The sequence below is a fragment of the Homo sapiens genome, chromosome 6, assembly GCF_000001405.40.
Source record: "Homo sapiens chromosome 6, GRCh38.p14 Primary Assembly".
Taxonomy (NCBI): Eukaryota; Metazoa; Chordata; class Mammalia; order Primates; family Hominidae; genus Homo; species Homo sapiens.
The window spans coordinates 134303981-134325485 of record NC_000006.12 but is presented as its reverse complement, the minus strand read 5'-3'; the positions used below and the strand labels follow the sequence as shown (position 1 = coordinate 134325485).

At 40.7% G+C, this 21505-nt stretch overlaps 1 protein-coding gene across 1 annotated transcript in view, besides 2 other annotated features; it reads left to right on the top strand.

Annotated features, from left to right (window-relative positions):
- The first annotated feature begins 7373 nt into the window (after positions 1–7373).
- SGK1 (serum/glucocorticoid regulated kinase 1) overlaps positions 7374–21505 on the top strand; it is a 148857-nt gene continuing 134725 nt past the window's right edge. The window contains exon 1 of the mRNA NM_001143676.3: positions 7374–8094. Within this exon, the coding sequence (NP_001137148.1) occupies positions 8026–8094 (69 nt within the window). The 5' untranslated portion in view covers positions 7374–8025. The remainder of the gene's footprint in view (positions 8095–21505) is intronic.
- Positions 7547–7826: an enhancer, noted in NCBI's record as "active region_25089". NCBI's record gives its function as "activates an Ori minimal core promoter by ATAC-STARR-seq in GM12878 lymphoblastoid cells {active_cell/tissue: GM12878}" and the evidence as "EXISTENCE:reporter gene assay evidence [ECO:0000049][PMID:35858748]".
- Positions 13706–14265: an enhancer, noted in NCBI's record as "H3K27ac hESC enhancer chr6:134632359-134632918 (GRCh37/hg19 assembly coordinates)". NCBI's record gives its function as "activates a minimal SCP1, AML or CMV promoter by ChIP-STARR-seq in naive H9 embryonic stem cells {active_cell/tissue: H9 hESC(naive)}" and the evidence as "EXISTENCE:reporter gene assay evidence [ECO:0000049][PMID:30033119]".

Here is a 21505-nt window from a genome sequence, read left to right as displayed (position 1 = left end):
CATAGTTATACGTTCACATATGTGTGTATATTAAATCCTTTTGAAATTCCCTTTAATTCTCACAACAAACTAATTATTAAGAAGTATTTTATGATTTTGTTTATTTTAGCTTGCTCAGGATCACATAGCTAGTAAGCAGGAGAGGTAGGTTTCAAATCCATTTATACTAAACAATATTGACTTGAGGAGAGAGACCCCATTAGTTCTAATGCTCTTTATTGCCACTCTAATAAATTTTGAGTTCATACTATATTTAGGGTATCTAATTTCCCTTGAAAACAAAGTGGGCCAGATGAGATGAAATTGTGCTCAATTTAAATAAGCTTATTTTACAAAACAGATAAACCTCAGGTAGACTTTGAGAGAGTTTCAAATAGAGGACAATCATGTTCAGGAACCAATTCACCTGAAGGCGCAGAATTTTCTAGAATAGCAGCATGTGAGGCTCCTGGGTGGGTTCTTTGTCTCTTTGCTGGGGTGGCTGCTGCTACTAGACGTATCTGCCCAGCTCACGCTCCCTTCTCTGCAAGCCTCAGCTGATTCGAATTATCAGAGAAATTGACTCAGCTCTTTGTTTCATGGTGCACATGGAGAGATAGCCAAAGATCATGCCTGCAGAGTGGAGAAAACAGGACTCCAGCTACTAATTTCTCCCTAGCTTCTTTCAATCAATACCAATCACAATAGCCTATTCCATCATGTACATATAGCCTGGTGAGACGGTTGACAGGAGCAACCTGCCCACGTCATGTTTCATTTGTGCTGTACATAGAGAAGTAATTGACGAACACCTTTTGGACAAGTCAAGTTAAAAATATAACCTTCTGCCCTATCAGTTAAGAGATCATTTGAACCTAATCTCAAAGGTTGAATGTTGAAAGAAAAAAGAGAGGAGTAACTAATAACACCCCCAAAAACGCATCTTACAAAAAGGCTATAAAATTCACTCTATCTGTAGTTTCTACTTCATTTCTCAAGGTCATTCTCAAGGCAGTCCAATTCATAGATGATAACGACCTTAGCAGGATGTTCTGCTGACCTACTCTATTCAAACTGCATGTGTACCTATATGTGTGTGTTTCTGCACGAGAATGCACGTCCGTATGTTTTCTAGGTCTCTAGCAGTGAGATTTACACAATGACAAAGTCTTGCTGATTTACACAATGACAGTCTTGCTGCAACACTGAAAATTCCCTGACTGACGAGACAAGAAATCACTATAATAAGGAAGGTCAGATCAAAAGGGAGTTTAAAGGAATAGATTTTCTTTAAAATAAACAATCTTTGCAGGTTCTAATTCCTTTGTATGATTTAAGCAAGGGAATAGAAATAACTGTGCAGATGTGAAATCTGGGAAAGCTGTAAAATTCATTGTTGATGTTGAATGAATTATCACTAATATTCAAATGAGCAATTACTAACAAATTGATTTGTCCCCTTGGGCTACATGTTGTCACATTGCCATAAGAAAGAGAGGATTTCTTTATAGCTTTGTGTCAGAAAAGGTTGTCATAAACATCTTTGACACCATTTTACCATATAGAGCCAAGGAGGGAAAAAAGAGAGAGTGTGTGTGTGGGTGCCTGCGTGGGTGAAGGGGCCCAGGTGAAAAGCGAGTAACAGAGACATAGGGAGGTGGCATGCATTTTTAATCAGCTGCTACTGTTTCTCTTGAACTGAGGAACTAAATTTTCTAATTACATCAAAAATGTTTCAGGTAAGAGAGATAAATAAAATCCAGTTTTAGATGATCTGGCTAAAACCATATTTCTGGAAAAAAATGGAATGCCTTACATATGGATTAAGTAGTATCATTAGATGAAATTTGCCAGGACAAATGCAGTTTGTTTCATTGGTTTGTTCTTTTTCTTGTAAGTGTAATGACCAGAACATACCTCATATTCAATAAGGTGTCAAATCAATTAACGCTGGAAATATTGCTTGACTTTTTGCCAATTAAAAATAATAAAATAGTTGATAAATGCTGACTCTGTAAGAAAACTGTATATCTATAAATTGCCCTGTTTTTGCTAACATAGTGAAAATGGAAACAAACCACAAGTATGGAACACTTTAAGTCTTATTTAGTCTCTTATAGACAAAAAGGAGCATAATCCTTTGCTTCTTGCATCTTTTTGCAAAATTCCATGAATCAATTCTGGTATTGATTTTTTTTTTTTTTTTTTTTTTTAACAGATGGAGCCTCCAGGGTGGAGTTCAGTTCAGTGGCACGATCATAGCTCACTGCATCCTTGAACTCCTGGGGCTCAATTGATCCTCCTGCTTCAGCTGCTTAAGTAGCTGGGAAGGCAGGTATGCATCATTATGTCTTGCTAATTTTTAAAAATTTTGTAGAGATAGAGTCTCACTATGTTGCCCAGGCTGGTCTTGAAACTCCTGTTCTCAAGCAATCTTCCCACTTCAGCCTCCCAAAGTGCTGGGATTATAGGCATGAGCCACCATGTCTGGCCTTTTGATTATTTTTGTTTCTATGTAATTATTTCTGTCAAAGAAAACTATATAATGAACTGTTTTAGGGTTTTCATAATGTAACATTTCCTCTGATATATGCATCCATTAAGTGAAAAAAGATCTAATTTGGTAAAACCAAAAAATTTCAAATTTTTTTAAAAAGGGACTTTTGGCCAGGCTTGGTGGCTCACACCTATAATCCCGGAACTTTAGGAGGCCAAGGCGGGCAGATCGCTTGAGCTCAGGAGTTTGAGACCAGCCTGGGCAACATGGTGGAACCCCATCTCTACAAAAACTACAAAAGTTAGCTGGGCATGGTGACACGCACCTGTAATCTCAGCTACTCGGGAGGCAGAGGTGGAATGATCGCTTGAGCCCAGGAGGTTGAGGCTGCAGTGAGTCATGATCACACCACTGCATTCCAGCCTGGGTGACAGAGAGAGACCCTTTCTCAAAAAAGCAAATAAAATAAAATTAAAAAGGGTCTTTTGCATGTACAAAAACAAACCCATAATCCCCAGCAGGGTTTCCTAATTCTTCATTAAATACATCACTACCACTGTGGCTGGAGTTTTAAGCATATGATCGAGTCACTCAGGCCAAAAAGGAATGTAAAACATTTCTCATGAGGTGATGTATTTTTATCCCTTTCTCCTTAGGGACATTTGTCACTAAACAGATACTTTATTGTTTGTTATCTTTTGTGTATTCTGGGGTGCTATCGAAAAAAATTACATTCCATTCAACAACTAAATGTATCACACAAAAACACTTTAATCTATGGGAAGATAGACTTTCTAAAAAGTATTACAGTGGCATATGCCTCTTGCTTTAGTGAAACAAAGAAATGTAGAGTTATTTATTACTTTGCAAAACCCTTTCAAATATAATTTGGTACTGACAATTCCTTTAGGAGGTAGGTGAAGAAGCATTTTATTATTATTATTTTACAGATGAAGAAACTGAGGCTTAGTGCGTTGAGGGAACTTGTTGAAGGTTGCACAATTAGGGAATGGAAGTGAGGTAGAAGATGTTCCAAATCAATACAGCAGTCTTTCCACCGCAGGTACATATTGGTAGTTAGTCCTACCTAGCTACTTTATTTTATTCTTTGTGTGACAGCCTAAACAATATTGTTGGGAGGAAAAGTAGGTATACCACAAAAAAATCAAATAGAGGTTCAAGGGATTCTTTTTGTTTGTTTGTTTATTTATTTATTTATTTTGAGAGAGTCTTGCTCTGTTGCCCAGGCTAAAGTGCAGTGGAACAACCATGTCTCACTGCAGCCTCAACTTCCCAGGGTCAAGCAATCCTTCCACCTAAGCCTCCTAAACAGCTGGACCACAGGCATGCATCACCACACCACCTATTTTTTTTCCTTTTTGTAGAAATGGGGCTTTGCTATGTTGCCAGGCTGGTCTCAAACTCCTGGGCTCAAGTTATCCTCCTACCTCGGCCTCCCAAATTGTTGGCATTATAGGCATGAGCCACTGTGCCTGGCCCAAGGGATTATTTTTAACATTGGGATTTTCCATCAAAAAGAAGTGTCATCCCAGGGCTACAGTGTCATTGAGGCTTAAAGAGGAAATGGTGAGGAGTGAGGTCGTTTGCTCTTACTGGAGCTCAGCATATTGGCTATCATGGGAGAGAGCTTAATGACTGAAGAATCTTAAAGGTATTTAATGATTCCTGCAAATGGTCTGGTGCCAGGGTCACTGATGTCAGCTATACTTACTTTTGTATTTAATTCGTTTGAAAACCATTTGTTGAGTGCTAGCATGGCCCAGGCACTCCGCTGTGTGCTGGTGCTACAAAAATAAATAAGTGTGTTTTATGGGAACAAGAAGTGAGTTAATTAATTAAATTAAGTTTGATTTATAAACAAGATGTTGCATGAGTCCAGAGTTTTTTTTTTTATTATTATAAGCAGGAGCCTGTGCTCCTTTATAGGTATCAACAGTGGACCTGTCAAAGGAAACATTTAGTAAACAGTAGTCACTCTGGGCTTACCTGAGGGCAGCTTTACTTATGAAAATAGAGGTCAGAGTGAGATGAAAGATGCCTTCTTTTCCTGAATAACCAACACAGTGCAGTTAATGCATTTCTCTATTATTGCACCAATCAAAAGATAATCCAAAATAATTGGCTGTCAGATATAGTCAGAATCCCTGCCCTATACTTCTCTTCCTTCATCTGACTGACCTACTCATTCTTTAAGGCCATGCACTAACATCATCCCTTTAGGTAAATTTCCTGGACCTCTCTTACCCATCCAGCCCCACCCTTCCCCCCTCCAAATTAAGGCAGGGTTGATGCATACACACCACACACACACACACACACACACACACACACACACACACAGAGTAGTACACTCTTATCCATGGGGGATACATTCCAAGACCCCCCCCATGGATGCGTGAAACTTCAGATAGTACCAAACTCCATATACATTATGTTTTTTCCTGTACATACATACCTATAATAAAGTTTAATTTATAAATCAAGCACAGTAAGAGATTAACAACAATAGTAGAATAATTTTAACAATGTACGATAATAAAAATGATGTGACTGTGGTCTCTCTCTGTGTCTCTAAAAGTATCGTATTGTACTCACTGATTTTCAGACCATTGTTGACCTTAGGTAACTGAAACTGTGGAAGGTAAAACCTCAGATAAGGGAGGACTACTGTATATAGTATTCTTACCACACTGTATATTTCTCTACTAGGCTGTGAGTTCCTTGGTGACAAAAACCAGTGACACTTACATGCACTGGACCTTCCATAGGATCTAGCATAGACCAAGTGACAGTGGCAGCATCTTCAAGAGGTGGCATGGAGTGAGGGAAAAGATAGCATTTAGCTTGTCTTCTCCTCCCTCATAATCTCTATTAACCACCCGCCTGCACCCCAAATGAACATACATCCTACATGAAACCAGGGTATTAGTCCGTTCTCACACTGCTAATAAAGACATAGTGAGATGGGTAATTTATACAGGAAAGAGGTTTAATTGACTCACAGTTCAGCATGGCTGGGGAGGCCTCAGGAAACTTACAATCAGAGCAGAAGGGGAAGCAAACACATTCTTCTTCACATGGCATCAGGAAGGGGAAGTGCTGAGCAAAAGGGAGAAAAGCCCCTTATAAAACCATCAGATCTCATGAGAAATCACTCACTGTGGGAACTACAATTCAAGACGAGATTTGGGTGGGGACACAGCCAAATGATATCAACCAGTATGCATGCTAGGCCAATGTGGGATTAAGCAAAGCCCCAGCACCTCCTTCCTAGCAGAGTGCTTAAAGGTCCCCTCCTGTATATTACTCAAATTCAATAAATGTCTGTTAAAACACTTTTGGGGGAGTGGCAATGGGACGAAAAAGAAAGAACTTGAATGACCATCATTTTTTAAAATGAGGTCCATTGAGGTATAATTTACATGCAGCAAAAGTTTCCCTTTTCCTATATAAAATTTGATGAGTTCTGACAAATGCATAGTTATGTAACCACCACCATCATCATGATAGAGAACACTTCCATCGTCTCAAAATAATTCCCTTTGAACTACCATAATTTTAAATGAACTCTTTAGAAGAACCACAAAAACTTATCAATGTTGTAGATTACATAACATATACTTGCATCTTGGACAACTTAACATATCTCTCCAAAATGAATAGTTGTTTTCCCTTGGTTATCATGCCATCATTTAGTTGTATTGCATTTTCTTTTTGGAAACCTCAAGGCATTTAGCAAACAGGATTTCATGTTTATTCCCAAAAACTCTGGCCCAACTGTAGAGATTTATAGTCCAATTCAATGAAACCCATGCATTTCTTTCCCAGTTTAACCTGATGTTTCTCTTCTTACCAGAGACTTCCATGTAAATACTTTAACAATGTTAGGTGTGTTATATATAATGAGGTCATAATCAGTTTCAAATTAGCATTGCGCCTTTCACTTATTTATCAATTATATTCCCTTGTGATGATTATGAAAAGGCTCCACATCCTGAGGACACTTGTCAGAGTTAGATTTATTAATGGAATGAAATAGCAAATAATGAATGACTAAATAAATGAATGAGTGAATGAATGAATGAGTGGCTGCCTCCATTTTATGGATGAGGCAGTGTCCGAAAGGCACAGTGAGGTCAGGTGATGGCAGAAAGCCACACACCGATGTTGGTGGCTTTCTGCCAGGTCAGATGCCAAGTTTATTTTCTTTGCTTTCTTGCTTTACTATCAACTAATCTTTAAAATCATTCCCATAAAATATCAACATTAAAGAATAAAAATGGAAAAATAAGCCACATACAATTAAATGGCTTTTTTAAAAGGAGCTCAGTGTGCAAAGGATAACATGAGTAAGGATTTTTTGGGAAATTTTTCACCTAATAGGAAGAATGCTTTACTCTTTTATTTATCAAACCTTCCTCATCATTAAATGGATTCAGTAGTACTTTTTGGTAATAACTCGTGTGTGTGTGTATGTGTGTAATAAAGTACTTTGTATATGTTCATTGTGTTCTTTTTTTAATAAGCTGTTTTAATGAAAAAGACACAATTACCGTCACCATTGCCCACTATATAATGACAAGTAGGGGAGGGGAGGCTAAAAGAGCTTCTACATAGTGAGAGATCTTCCATTGTTATACCTACGCTTGCACTTTATTTCATTTTCTTCCACGTTTGGACAGGTCGAGATTAAATGTGATTACATTTCCGTTGAGAGGCTTTTATTCAGCAACAGGATTCAAAAGAATGTCAATGAGCATAAAATAAAAACGGTGTGCAATTTATATGAAACTCTGATTTAAATGGTCCTAACCAAAAAAAAAAAAAAAGAAAGAAAGAAAAGAAGCTATTTAAAGTAACCCTCCCAAGGGGAGTCAACTGCTCTTCAGTGTGCCCTGAGCCGGCTGTGCCTTCTCTCCATCCGCTGCTCAGATATTCATGAACCGTTGCTTCTTCCAGCCTCGCCTTCTCGCTCCCTCTGCCTTTCTGGCGCTGTTCTCCCTCCCTCCCTCTGGCTTCTGCTCTTTCTTACTCCTTCTCTCAGCTGCTTAACTACAGCTCCCACTGGAACTTGCACAATCAAAAACAACTCTCCTCTCTCAAGCCGCCTCCAGGAGCGCATCACCTGGAGAAGAGCGACTCGCTCCCCGCGCCGGCCGCGGAAGAGCAGCCAGGTAGCTGGGGGCGGGGAGGCGTACCCTTCTCCCGCTCGGTAAGAGCCACAGCATCTCCCCGGAGATTGGCCGTATCCCACCGTCCGGCCCCCAGGGTCCTGCAGCGGTGATGCATATGTTTCGGAGCAATGATGGAAGGAGAAAAGCCGCTGTCGGTGGCAACTGAAAGTGGGGAGAGGTTGCTGCAGTAGCTGGTGCTGCAGAATGCGCGAGTGAAGAACTGAGCCCCGCTAGATTCTCCATCCCGCTCAGTCTTCATTAACTGTCTGCAGGAGGTAAACCGGGGAAACAGATATGCACTAACCAGGCGGGTGCCAACCTGGATCTATAACTGTGAATTCCCCACGGTGGAAAATGGTAAACAAAGACATGAATGGATTCCCAGTCAAGAAATGCTCAGCCTTCCAATTTTTTAAGAAGCGGGTAAGGACAGGTTTTGCTTATTTCTTTTGTTTTCTGTGCTTCTCTTAAATGCTTTTGAATGTTTGCCTGAAGTAAGCCTGAGGTTTTGTTGCTAAACCCTTAATGTAAGCCGTGCTTCTGATGGCAGTGGTAAAGCTGAGAACTATACCTGACTTGATTAGAATTTGTTGGAGGAGGGGCAGGGGGCTATGAAGAGTTGCATTGGGAGGAGGGGGTTGGGCTGAGATGCCTTAAACGGGTTTGAGCTGGGAATGGGGATTTTTCTCTCTCAAGCCACAACAAAGATTACAAGGCAGTCGCAAAGAGAACTGGCTTGAGTACAATTATGGCTAGTAATTTAGTCAGGGGCTAATTTAGCAGCTTCCTCTCATCTTTGAAGGGTTCAACTTTTCTACACCTTTCATCCACTCAGTCTCAAGTGATGCATTATCATCTTCGTTCGTCAGAAGCAGCAGCTTCTGGTTTCCCAAATCCATTCAGCCAATAATTTGCTGTGTCTCTATCTGTGGTATAAATAGCAAAGGAGTAGAATGACCTTTTACAGAAATGATGGAATCCAGCATTTAAAATTGTCTATTTTAAGTTGCCTCAATTTTTGCTTTTGCTTAGAATAACTGCCTTTTTTTTTTTTTTTTTTTTTTTTTTTTTGGGAGAGAGCAGTGGGAGGTCTGTATTTGAGTGATAATTCAGGGTTATGTTGCTGTATGCATTTATTTCTTAAACTCCTTATTCTTCAACTCAAAGTATGAATAATGTTGCATTGGTTGTAGGTGAGAAAAAAGGATTTTTTTGCATGTATATTTCACAATAAACTCAGTTCACTGGGATGGCCACACTGGTGGTCTGTGTAAATCTGCAAATTTATACACAAGCGGGAGGTAAGAAATGAATGATTGTTAAAGGAATGACACTGACACTCTTAAGGACAGTGTTTCCTAAGCAACGTAAGAGAAGGAACATCCTCCAGTCCCCAGTTGCCCCATCCTATTTAATACCCTAGGGCAATTCCACCAAAATGGTTCTCTCCATTCATTCCTCCTTCCTTTCATTCAGGTCCTTTCTGTGCCACTCCTGAAACACAGCCCTTCAGTTAACTCATCCGCAGAACACAGTGAATTTCAGGGTGGGCTGGACTATCTCCCTGCACCAAATGGGCAAGCTGGGAAGGCAAGGCTAGAAATGCAGGCAACATGTCAGGCCCAGCTAGAGGGCCAGCGAAGGCTCCCAAGCACCCTTGACTGAGTTCTCATCAGTAAAGCAAAATCTTTCTCCAAGTCTGTGGGCCAAAGCATATGCATTCAAACCAAAATGAAACCAACCTGTCCTGGCCCCTGCTCTTGGAGTGGGAGTACCATGTGAAATCTCACTAGTGAGCTGCAAGCTAAGTGAAAGCAAGTCAGTGCAACTTCACAGAGCTCCACAAGGCTTCTTAGTTTTTCTCTGTAGCTAAAATATTTCTTTCCAAGGGAAGAGCCCTTTATGAAAATTAATTTTCTTTCTTTCTTTTTCTTTTTTTTAGAGACGGGGTCTTGCTATATTGCCCAGGGTGGTCTTGACCTTTTGGGCTCAAGTGGTCCTCCTGCCTCAGCCTCCCAAATTGCTGGGATTACAGATGTCCACCACCAGGCCCAGCCCTAATTTTCAATAATAAACAAATGTTTTGCTAATTTTAAAAATGCCATAGCCCATTATCCAGTATTTAAACTCTATTGCCTTTTAATTACTGTATTTATTTCATGGTATTGGGGATATTCTAAAACTCCTCAGTCAGATGTTCTTAAGCAATGTAGATTTAAGTTACATAAATTTTAAATTGTCTTTTATTTTCTTTGTTATCAAAATGTACTAATAGAAATACTAATTTGCCATTTGGTTTTGTTTTGCTTAAAAGCAAGTTTACCAATAGACTTCAGTTGGTGACTCTGCAGACCTTGAATTTTGCAGAGAACCACCCAGGGTACTGATGTCTTATCTGAGTACATGCAGAAAGAAGTTTCTACCAAGATAACTGGCAGGCAGCTTCATCTAACTTCTAACCTGGGTCTATCAGTTGCTGGAGACAGGATCAGACATCTCTCCTGCCCCTGCGCTCTCCTTACTCCTCAAGGACAGTTAACTAAGTAGAAGGTGACCTTGTATCAAGTCATTGAATGCCCCAGGGATAAATTCTTTGATTTTTGTCTACTTTGGTTTATTCCACAAATTCTGTATTCTAAATGTTTATTTCTGCTTGTACATGACTTTGCTTTTTTTGTTTGTTTGTTTTTAGTTAAACAATATGTAAATACATCTATAAAACATTAAAACAATAATAAGGTATATCCCACCTCCTCTCCAATCTTTCTCCCTTTCCCAGATGTAGTAACTGTTACCATACTGATGTTTATACTTTCCAAACTTTTACTTCACATACACATTCATATACTACAATGCCTTTGTTTGCAGTTCAGAATAATTCATTTTCTTATATTCTATTGTTGAAGTTCCACACATTTCTGCATATTTTATTTTTAACCTAGCTAGACAGTCTTACAAAGTGAACCTTTGTCCATAGCCCACATTAAACTATGAATAGATTTTGGAAAAAAAAAAAAAAAAACCATAGGGTCTATTAGGGCTAATTAAAAAGAATGATTTTTGATTGCAGGAGGCTTAAACAGTGCTTCCTATGCTTCTGAGACATTCCAGAGGGAGCATAAGAAACTGAAGGAGAATATAGGTTATCTGCCCTTGTAGCTGTCTGTCAGTCACTATTTATTAGAGCTGACTATGTTCTGGGTAGGAATGCTTTACATGTATTAGCTCATTTAATATTCACAGTAACCCTATAAGGTAAGAAACATTATTAAATGTGCAAAGTGTGACTTAGAGAGATTAAACCATTCGCCCAAGGTCACATAACTAAAAAGTAGCAGAGCTAAAATTTAAACCTTGTTCAACTCAAAGCTTGTATACGTAATCCAGACTTTTTGATTTCAGACCACTCTCCCCTTCTTTTCTTTTAGTTTCCACAACAGACTCTTCTGTCCCCCTACCCCCCTCCCCCAACCAAGTGAAATCTTTATGCCACTACCAAAAACCTATAAAAGCGGCCAAGCCTCTTCCAGCTCCTTTCTAGTCCTTAATACTGACAGTAATGAGAGGCTGCCCTGGGGAACCCAGATTCTAGGAACATAATCTGAAGAAAGACAGTCCGGATGCTAGTTCTACAAAATCCTTTGGATTTATGCTTCTCATCCTCATATTTTAAAAGCTCAACTAAAGCAGCTTAATTTCATTTAGCAGAGAATTGCTGAACTAAACTGGATAAGAGTTCTACTTTCATTCTTTAAGTGTTCATGATAAATTAGCATTAGATGTATATGGATTATATTTTACTCTTAAGAGTCTCCAAAAATTCATTTAAGATGAATGGAAAAATGTCCTTATCAGTTTTATTCTCCCAATCCAAGAGTTTTAAAAGTTGTCAGTCCAGCTAAAGGTAATCCATTTTCATGGATTTAAAGATTTGTTCTGTTTGTGGCTCAGATTCTTACATAATGATTTAGAAAACGCAAACAAATGACATTGTCTCCAACTCGATAATCCTTTTTGGAAATACACAAGGTATGTGAAAAAAACTTCCATAGCCATGATTACATTACCTTTTGTAAAATTCGAAAGGCTATCTAACGCTGCAGAATTTTGGATGTGGAATGAACCTCAGAAATTCTCCCTCTGACTTCCCTCTTTCAAAGATGAGGAAACTGAGTACCTGTGGTAAATCACCTGTCAAATTAGAATGAGGTTAAGCCAGGACTCATGTTTTGGGTTTTCACTTCCAGATCTCGTGTGCTTTCCTTTTTGCTAAGTTCTCAACATCAAACTAGTCAAGTCTTTCATGCCTCATTCATTCATTTTTCAACAAATAGAGTAGGAACAAAATAACCATGTTTTATCTTCATGAAACTAACGGCATAGTGACTACCAACTTTGACAAGACCGTTCCATTTTGACTCTGTATTTTTGTTGTTGTTATTTTTGTTTGTTTGTTTGGTTGGTTGGTTGTTTGCAGAGACAAGGTCTCACTATGTTGCCCTGGCTGGTCTCGAGTTTCTGGGCTCAAGGGAGCGTCCCAAAGTGTTGACATTTCAGGTGTGAGCCACCCACTGTGCCCAGCCTTGACTCTCTATTTTATGATTATATGCATTTGAACAATTCCTTGCATTATTCTTTAATAACAGTAGCTTTTCTAATAACTATGACTTAAATGGCATTAATATTGCTGGGCATGGTTCTAAGAGCTTTAAGTACATTACACATTTAAATCATCATACACAGGCTGGGCGCGTTGGCTCACGCCTGTAATGCCAGAACTTTGGGAGGGTTAGGCAGGCAGATCACTTAAAGTCAGGAGTTCGAGACCAACCTGGCCAACGTGGTGAAACCCTGTCTCTACTAAAAATACAAAAATGAACCAGGTGTGATGGCAGGCGCCCATAATCCCAGCTACTCAGGAGGCTGAAGCAGGAGAATCGCTTGAACCAGGGAGGCGGAGGTTGTAGTGAGCTGAGGTCTCGCCACTGCACTCCAGCTGGGATGACAGAGTGAGACTCCATCTCAAGGAAAAAAAAAAATTATCATATATAAAAATACCTGAGATAGGTACTTTTATTATTGTGATTTCATAGATGAAGAAACTGAGGTGTACAGAAGTTGAAGAACTTGCCCCAAGTCACATAGCTAGTTAGTGACAGGATCAGGGTTTGGATCCCAGCACCAGGCTCCAGAGTCTGTGTCCTTAATCTCTATACATCCCGAATGCCTGTCAACATTAAATAATCCAGGGTGAAGTTCAGAGAAGTGAAATGATATGACTTCTCTGGCCTCCTCCTTTCTCTAATAACTGCAGGAACAAAGGAAAGGTTTTTAGTCTGGTTACAATGTTTACTCTAGCAGAGCTGAGAAGTTAAATTAAGCTCCTCTGAAGTGCTTATTCTTCACAACTATTTCATAAACAGCATCCCTTTACATTTGTTTTCCTTTTACTGTTCTATTTTGCCTGCTTAAAGTATCCAAATTGGAATAACAAAGGCCCTTTTCTTATGGGAAACTTTCGATGTCTTCTCAGAGGGATAACATTATTGAGCAGCACCGTTCAAAGCACTTTACTCAGGTAACTCTCACAATCCTTCATTATGCCCATTTTATAGCCAAGGAAACTGAGGGTCAGAGGTTAACTGATTTGTTAAAAATCGTAGACCTAGGAAGAGGTATAGCCAGAATTCAAATTCAGGTAGTTCGTTTACCAGCAGCAGTCTTTCCATTTGCGTCACTGGAGTGCACTGCGATGATGCCAATACTGTTGCAGGATTGGCTCTACTGAATTGGAAACTACTTGTGAAGACAACCCAAAGAGGTGTTTTGTTGTTGTTGTTGTTGATGTTGTTATAGCCTTAGCTATGAAGAGGTAGATTCTCCAAGTCACTACTGAGAGCGGTAGGAATGCTTTCTAACAAATCTGAAGTCTGCTTTAGATTTTTTCAAGATATGTTTGATCATGCTTCCCGGAACACGGCGGAGACTCCAGTGGCTGCTACTGTGCTTTCTTCGGAATGGCTAAAATCTAAGCTGTTTGAGTTCCTCTTGAGCCTGCGCCCACAACACAGCACATGGTCCCAGTGACACTGCATTGTTACATTAGTACTGCTTATTCCTCTGTAGCTCCCACAGGGCAGGAAGGTTTTTTGTTTTGTTGTTTTTTCATACAGTCTCACTCTGTCACCCAGGCTGGAGTGCAGTGGCACCATCTCATCTCACTGCAACCTCTGGCTCCTAGGTTCAAGCAATTCTCCTGCCTCAGCCTCCTGAGTAGCAGGGATTACAGGTGTGCACCACCATGCACAGCTAATTTTTTTGTATTTTTTTTTTTAGTAGAGACAGGGTTTCACCATGTTGGCCAGGCTGGTTTCCAACTCCTGACCTCAGGTGATCCACAAGCCTTGGCCTCCCAAAGTGCTGGGATTACAAGCATGAGCCACCACAACTGGCTGGAAGGTCTTTAAGGACAGAAAACCAGTTACCTTGTTCACTGTATCCCCTACTTGTCAAAACATATTTGTTGAATAAAAGAATGCATAAAATAAAAGAACAAATCCTTCTATTACTTGCCCCTAAGTCATTGCCCTCTTCTCCTTCCTCCTCCGTCTTCCTTTAAACAGGCTTTGGTGGCTCAGAAATCTAATGCATTTTATTTCTCTCTATGTTTAGATATGGATTAGATATAAATTAAGACTGAAATGTAACCTAAATCTGGCTCAAAGACAAGCTGTCACTTCCCCTTCAGAGCTGGTGGGTACTTAGGGAAGCTTGACCTCAGCTTATTTGCTGATCCAATGCCCATAACACACCTTCTCTTCTATGATACTTTTCTTGTCAGGCCAAACAAGACAGACGTAGCAGTGATTCACTAATCTCCTTTTATTTTGCATTAATATGAATTACTAACTTCAGTAATATATAGTAGGCTGGGCACAGTGGCTCACACCTTTAATCCCAGCATTTTGGGAGGCCAAGGCAGGCAGATCACCTGAGGTCAGGAGTTTGAGGCCAGCCTGGCCAACATGGTGAAATCCCGTCTCTACTAAAAATACAAAAATTAGCTGGGAGTGGTGGTGGGCACCTGTAATCCCAGCTTCTCAGGAGGCCTAGGCAGGAGAGTCACTTGAACCTGGGAGGCGGAGGTGGCAGTGAGCCAAGATCACGCCATTGTACTCCAGGCTGGATAACACAGTGAGACAGCATCTCAAAAAACAAACAAACAAACAAAAACTATATAGTATCTGCATTATGTATCCTCCCAACTAGAATCCTAAAAATGTCTTTCAATTATTACTTATCCTCACTTTTCAGCATGGTCTTAGGAGCCACAGAGTGTGAGTAAGACGGATGCCTTTGGCACTTTGACCACTAAGTCTTAGAGAGTTTGGATGAGGGAGTTCAGCAGTCTAGGTTTGGCAGTGCTGGGGAATTAGTCTCAGTACTGCAGAATGTGGATGATGAGCCATTTTCGTTAGATAGATATTTTGCCTCCCCAGCAGCTCTCAAGAAAATCCTGAGATAGGCTCTTAGCTACAGTGCTTGGGAGGGATTTTGAATGGAAAGTGTAGCTGAGTTCCTTGAAATTCTGCACCATTTTTTAAAGGGCTGGTGCTGAAATGCGGGTGCCATATGTAACACTGGAGTAAGAGATATTCTGAGCTCACCCATATTTTATGATCTGTAAGTGCTTAACAAGGTAAAGCAAAACCAAAATGAGGGGGCAGGAGTGAGGAACGTGGGGGGTGGAGCCATCAAAATGCATGTTGGAGATTTCCGAATATGAAAGCATAAAGGCAGGAACAGTAATGGGAATTGGATCAATAGAAAAGTTTAATTAGTAATTTAGGTCAAGCTAAAGATAGTTCGCTAGAGCAAATATTGTAGAAGCATATTTTTAAAGTGTGATTTTTTTTTACATACTAGTTAATTTTTTTTAGAAATAAGTCCAAAAATAAAGGTAAATATCAACATTCCTAACATTGGCAGAAAAGACTCCTGACTTATGAGTGGGATGCTGTTTCCTGCCTGCTAAGGAAAGCTAGGATTCCTAGCTTGTCAGCTTGTTTGAGCGTGAAATCATTGGCTCCTCACCAACCTGGGGATGAAGATTTTTATCCATTCTATGGGGCTCAAGAAAGTTCAGCTCGCAGGGTAAAAAGAGTCTTCGAAGAGCTTTAACTGAAGGGATACGCAGTGTCTCTATAGAGATCCACATCCTCTGTAATGGGAAAGCAGGTGGTTCTGGACCTCACTCTCAGTGAATCCTTCTGGCCCAGAAATGAGGACAGCAGCAGTGACCTACCCTGGTCCTTGGTCTAAGAGCAGGCTTACCCAGCAAGTGGCCAGGTTTCTCTGGCAAACTGCACAGTGATGCTGGCAAATTTATAAAAGACCATGTGGGAAAGTGGAGGAGAAGGAGGTGGAGGAGGTGAAGGAGGTGCAGGAGGAGGAGGACAGGAAAAGCAGACAGTAAGGCAAGTTCGGTGCTGCGTTGGCCTCCTCCTGCAGCTGCCATGGCATGTGGAGAAAGGATTATTATTATAGTTTGTTTACTCTCACATCTATTTCTCTGCAGCATTCTGAAATGACATTGTAAGTATTTACAACAAAGGGAAATGAAAATCAAAGATGTAACTAGAGCAGTAGAGGAATCTTCTATTTGGTAGTTCGAGGTGCCAAAATATTACTCTAATTGCTTTCTAGAGCCTGCTGTGACGTTTTTCGGAGAAGAATTCACTTAGCTACTTCTGTAACATTAGGGTAACCTTGGCCTCTTTTTCCCTCCTAGGTCAGGGCATTCACCCAAAACGCCATTTGCTTCGGGAAATGACTGGTCATGTGGTTCTTCCACTTTCTCTCTCCTGTCTCTCTCTCTTTCTCTCTCTCTGTTGTCTCTGGAGGATAAGCTCACAGCAAGGCAAAAGAGAAAAGCATGAAGTGAAATATTCCTAGGCTTGCCGGGCACGGTAGCAAACGCCTGTAATCCTAGCACTTTGGAAGGCTGAGGCGGGTGGATCACCTGAGGTCAGGAGTTTGAGACCAGCCTGGCCAACACGGTGAAATCTTGTCTCTACTAAAAATACAAAAATTAGCAGGGTGTGGTGGCGTGCACCTGTAATCCCAGCTACTCAGGAGGCTGAGGCAGGAGGATCACTTGAACCCGGGGGGTGGAGGTTGCAGTGAGCTGAGAGGGCACCACTTCACGCCAGGCTGGGTGACAGAGAGAGACTCTGTCTCAAAAAAAAGAGAAGAAACATTCCTAGGATTGTGCCCATAGAAAACAAAGGATTCTCGTTCTAACCCAGTGGCTTAAGGAACATCTTGCTATCTCTGAGTTTGTTAGAGTGACATCAGCCAGTTTGAAAGACCTTGGTAGCTCAAAGATTTTAGTCTCTAGAAATAGCAAGGTGAAAAAAGAAAAGTCCCCCAAATTGTTAAAACATATTTAGACTCAAGTCCCTGTAGGACAAAAATTAAAATATGCCAGAGGGGAAAAATGAAAGTTAATAGTTTGAGAATTAAAAATAAATCGGAATATGTATTTATAATGTTTATTACTCAGAAATGTGATCTTTCCCATAGAATGATCTTTCCGAAAGCAGCTGAATTTTCTTTGAACTCTGAATCTTTCTGGGCCAGTATTTATTTAGGTTGTACTGTAAAAAAAATTACAGGAAAAAAACGATGAGTACATAGCTTCCGGTGTGGTTTAAAAGATTGGGGTAAGGCTGTGGAGGGGTAGTATAAAAATAAAGACATTAAAAAAGAATCCTCTTCACAGCCTCACATAGCTTCTCTGAAACCTAGAATATACACGTGCTGGGTGCAGGACCTTGTCTGCCTTGTTCACAGTTCTGTCTGTGTGCCTGGTGTGTAGTAGACGCTCAATAATATATGCTTGATGAATCAATAAAAACAATTTAATCAAGGGTCTTGGGGAAGAGCTACCATGTGTAATTATGATATCATTACTTGGTGGAATAGAGAGAGTATTGATGAAGAGAAGAATTTAAAGAAAATCTTGGAGTGATTTTAACTGCTTCCAGGTATTCACGGGTTCCACATCTGTGGATTCAACCAACTGCAGGTCAAATATTTGGGAAAAAAAGAGGATGGTTTCATCTGTACTGAACACGTACATACCTTTCTTCTTGTCATTCTTCCCTAAGCAATACAGTATAACAACTATTTACATAGCATTTATGTTGTATTTGCTATTATAAGCAATCTAGAGATCATTTTAAATGTTAGGGAGGGTATGCATTGGCTATATGCAAATGCGATGCCATTTTATATCAGGGGGTTGAGCATCTATGGATTTTAGGATCTGCAGGGGTCCTGGAATCAATCCCCCGCAGAGACTGAGGGACAATTGTAGTAACAATCTGTAAATGAATTTCTACAACGAACGTCAATATAATTGCTTTCTCCTTCAACCACTTGCCTTCAAAGATTAAATGTTACGTAGAAACAACCAGGACTTGGCACTCATTGTATACAGGGCCTTAGTTATCAGCTTTGGCAAAACAGTCATATCTAATTTATTTGTCTATTAGTCAGCTTTTACGTAAAAGGGCCCACACCTTCTCTACGTTGTCACTAATAAGTTGGTGAAGCCATTGCTAATTATTATTCATCTGGTGCAAAGCAAACACATTAAATCAGGCAATTGAGATTAACCCTTCAGAACTGATCTCTATCAGATGGAATTTCAGAATGTATAATTTTTTTTTCATCTAGTACCTTGGCAGTTATGTCTTGCATTATACATTTCATTCTTTTACAAAACTCAGAGCAATGCAAATTTCTAATGTGTCTTCATTTCTAAAGTTAATATCCTTTGAAATAACAGATTCAGAATTTATTTCAGAATTAGTGTTGAAATTCCGCCCCCCCCCCCTTTTATTTCTTTGTATTCTCATCATCAACAGCCAACATGAATTGAGCACTTTGATGTGTCAGGTTTTAAGGTGGGAAAGAGAAAATAAGAAATCATAAGCTTCCAGGTCGAGCTCAGTGGCTAACATCTGTAATCCCAGCACTTTGGGAGGCTGAGGCGAGCGGATTCGAGACCAGCTGGGGAACATGGCAAAACCCCATCTCTACAAAAAAATTAAAAAATTAGCCAGGTGTGGTGGTGAGTGCCTGTAGTCCCAGCTACTCAGGAGGCTGAGGTGCCAGGATCACTTGAACCCAGAAGGTGGAGGTTGCAGTAAGCCATGATGCCACCACTGTACTCCAGCCTGGGAGATAGAGTGAGACCCTGTCTCTAAAGGAAAAAAGAAATCACAAGCTTCCTTCACTCCCCAACTCCCTTCCCCAGAAACTTGGATTGTGTCCCTCCATAACATGCTCATTATAGCTCCTTGTGTGTTTTTTCTTTTTTTTTGAAACGGAGTCTCACTCTGTTGCTCAGGCTGGAGTGCAGTGTTGCGATCTTGGCTCACTGCAACCTCCGCCTCCCGGGTTCAAGCAATTCTTCTGCCTCAGCCTCCTGAGTAGCTGGCATTACAGGCATGCACCATCATGCCCAGCTAATTTTTGTATTTTTAGTAGAGATGGGGTTTCACCATGTTGGCCAGGCAGGTCTCGAACTCTTGACCTCAGGTGATCCACCCACCTCGGCCTCCCAAAGTGCTGAGATTACAGGCACTTTGAGCCACCGCGCCCGGCCTTGTGCTATTTTTTATGGCACCTGTCAGTTTGCAATTGCATATTGGTAAAGCTTTTTAATGAATGCCTTCAGCATTAATTAATGTCCTCCTGGACTATGAGCTCTATGAGGACAAGGACCTTCCTTCTCTTTTACATACAATTAAACCCTCAGGACCTGGCCCCTGGGGGGTTATCAATAAGTATATGTTGAAACAGAAAGCCAAAAGATGGTGAAATGCCTAAGGTCTATGGAGGAGAAAGAGGGGAGTTAATCTGAAAACTCATATAGAAATTGAAAGTTCTTTGCATTTTATTCTGTTTGGTTTATGTTAAAGTTCCATCATGTGCTAGACATGATGGCTCATCCCTGTAATTCCAGCACTTTGGGAGGCTGAGGTGGGAGGATCACTTGAGTCCAGGAGGTGGAGGCTGCAGTGAGCCATAGTCACACCACTGTACTCTAGCCTGGGCAACAGAACAAAACCCCATCTCTGAAAAAACAGCAAAATACATTGAATAAATTTTTTTAAATTCCATCATCTGAGACACATCTGTATTGTAAATAACATTTTTTTTTTTTTTTTGAGACAGGGTCTCGCTCTGTCACCCAGACTTGGGTGCAGTGGTGCGATCATGGCTCACTGCAATCTCTGCTTCCTGGGTTCAAGTGATTCTTTTGCCTCAGCCACCCAAGTAGCTGGGACTATAAACACACACCACCACGCTGGGCTAATTTTTGTATTTTTAGTAGAAACCGGGTTTTCTTTCCCTTTTTTTTTTTTTTTTTTTTTTTGAGATGAAGTATCACTCTGTTGCCCAGGCTGGCTGGAGTGCAGTGGGCGCGATTTTGGTTCACTGCAACCTCCGCCTCTGGGGTTCAAGTGATTCTTGTGCCTCAGCCTCCAGAGTAGGTGGGCCTACAAGCACCAGCCACCATGCCCAGCTAATTTTTGTATTTTTAGTGGAGATGGGGGTTTCACCATGTTGACCAGGCTGGTCTCAAACTCCTGACCTCAGGTGAGCCACCCGTCTTGGCCTCCCAAAGTGTTTTGGGATTGCAGGTGTGAGCAACCGTGCCTGGTTAAATATCATCTCTTCTGAAGTCATTGTCTTCTCTATCATTCACTGTTCCCTGTAAAGGGATCCATGTAGTAAAGTGCTCTTAATAATTTAGTAGTAGGTTAAAGATTTTTCTTTTCTGAAGGAAATCACATTTAGCATGATATAATCTCTTAGGTTTGCCTCAGTTGCCAGGAAACTCAAAGGTAAATTTAAATATAAATTTCAGTGAACAAATTGGACAAATCTTTAGAAATAACTTCTTAGTCACTGAACTTGGTTTTAATCTTGTGTTTTTATTTTCACTCTCCTCTTATGTGTTTTTCATTGTAAACTGCCTTGTTTTTTTTTCTCTTTGTTCTTTCCTTTTCTTTCTCTTTCTCTCTCTCTCTCTCTGAGACAGGATCTTGCTCTGTCCCCCAGACTGGAGAGTAGTGGTGCGATGATTGCTCACTTTAACCTTGAACTTCAAGACTCAAGTGATCCTCCCTATTGCCCAGGCTGGAATGCAGTGGTGCAATCTCCACTCACTGCAACCTCCGCCTCCCAGATTCAAGCAATTCTCCTGCCTCAGTCTGCCACCACACCCGGCTAACTTTTATATCTTTAGTAGAGACGTGGTTTCACCTTGTTGGCCTTGCTGGTCTCAAACTCCTGACCTCGAGTGATCCTCCCACCTCAGCCTCCCAAAGTGCTGGGATTGCAGGCGTGAGCATCCGCACCCAGCCTGTATTTCTTTCAAATTGTGTCCAACTCTACTAAATTTATGTTACTATTATTGCAAAGCAAACTACCCAGAATTTGATGAGCAAAAGCTACTGTCATTTATTTACTCATGATTCTGTGGATTAGGAATTCAGTGTCACTCATTTGGAGGGTTCTGCTCCCTGTGACGTTGGCTGAGTCTTTCCTTGGCTGCATTCAGCTGGTGGTTGAGCTGAGCCAGAAAGTCCGAGAAAGCTTCTTGTTTGGTGTCAGTGCATCTCTATTGGCCTCTTTCTCTCTCCACATAGCTTGGGCATCCTCACAGTAACATGTTCTTAAGATAGACTTAGATGGCTGCCGGCTTCTAACAGGGAGTGCTTCAAGAGAGCCTGTGGAAGCTGACGATCTCATA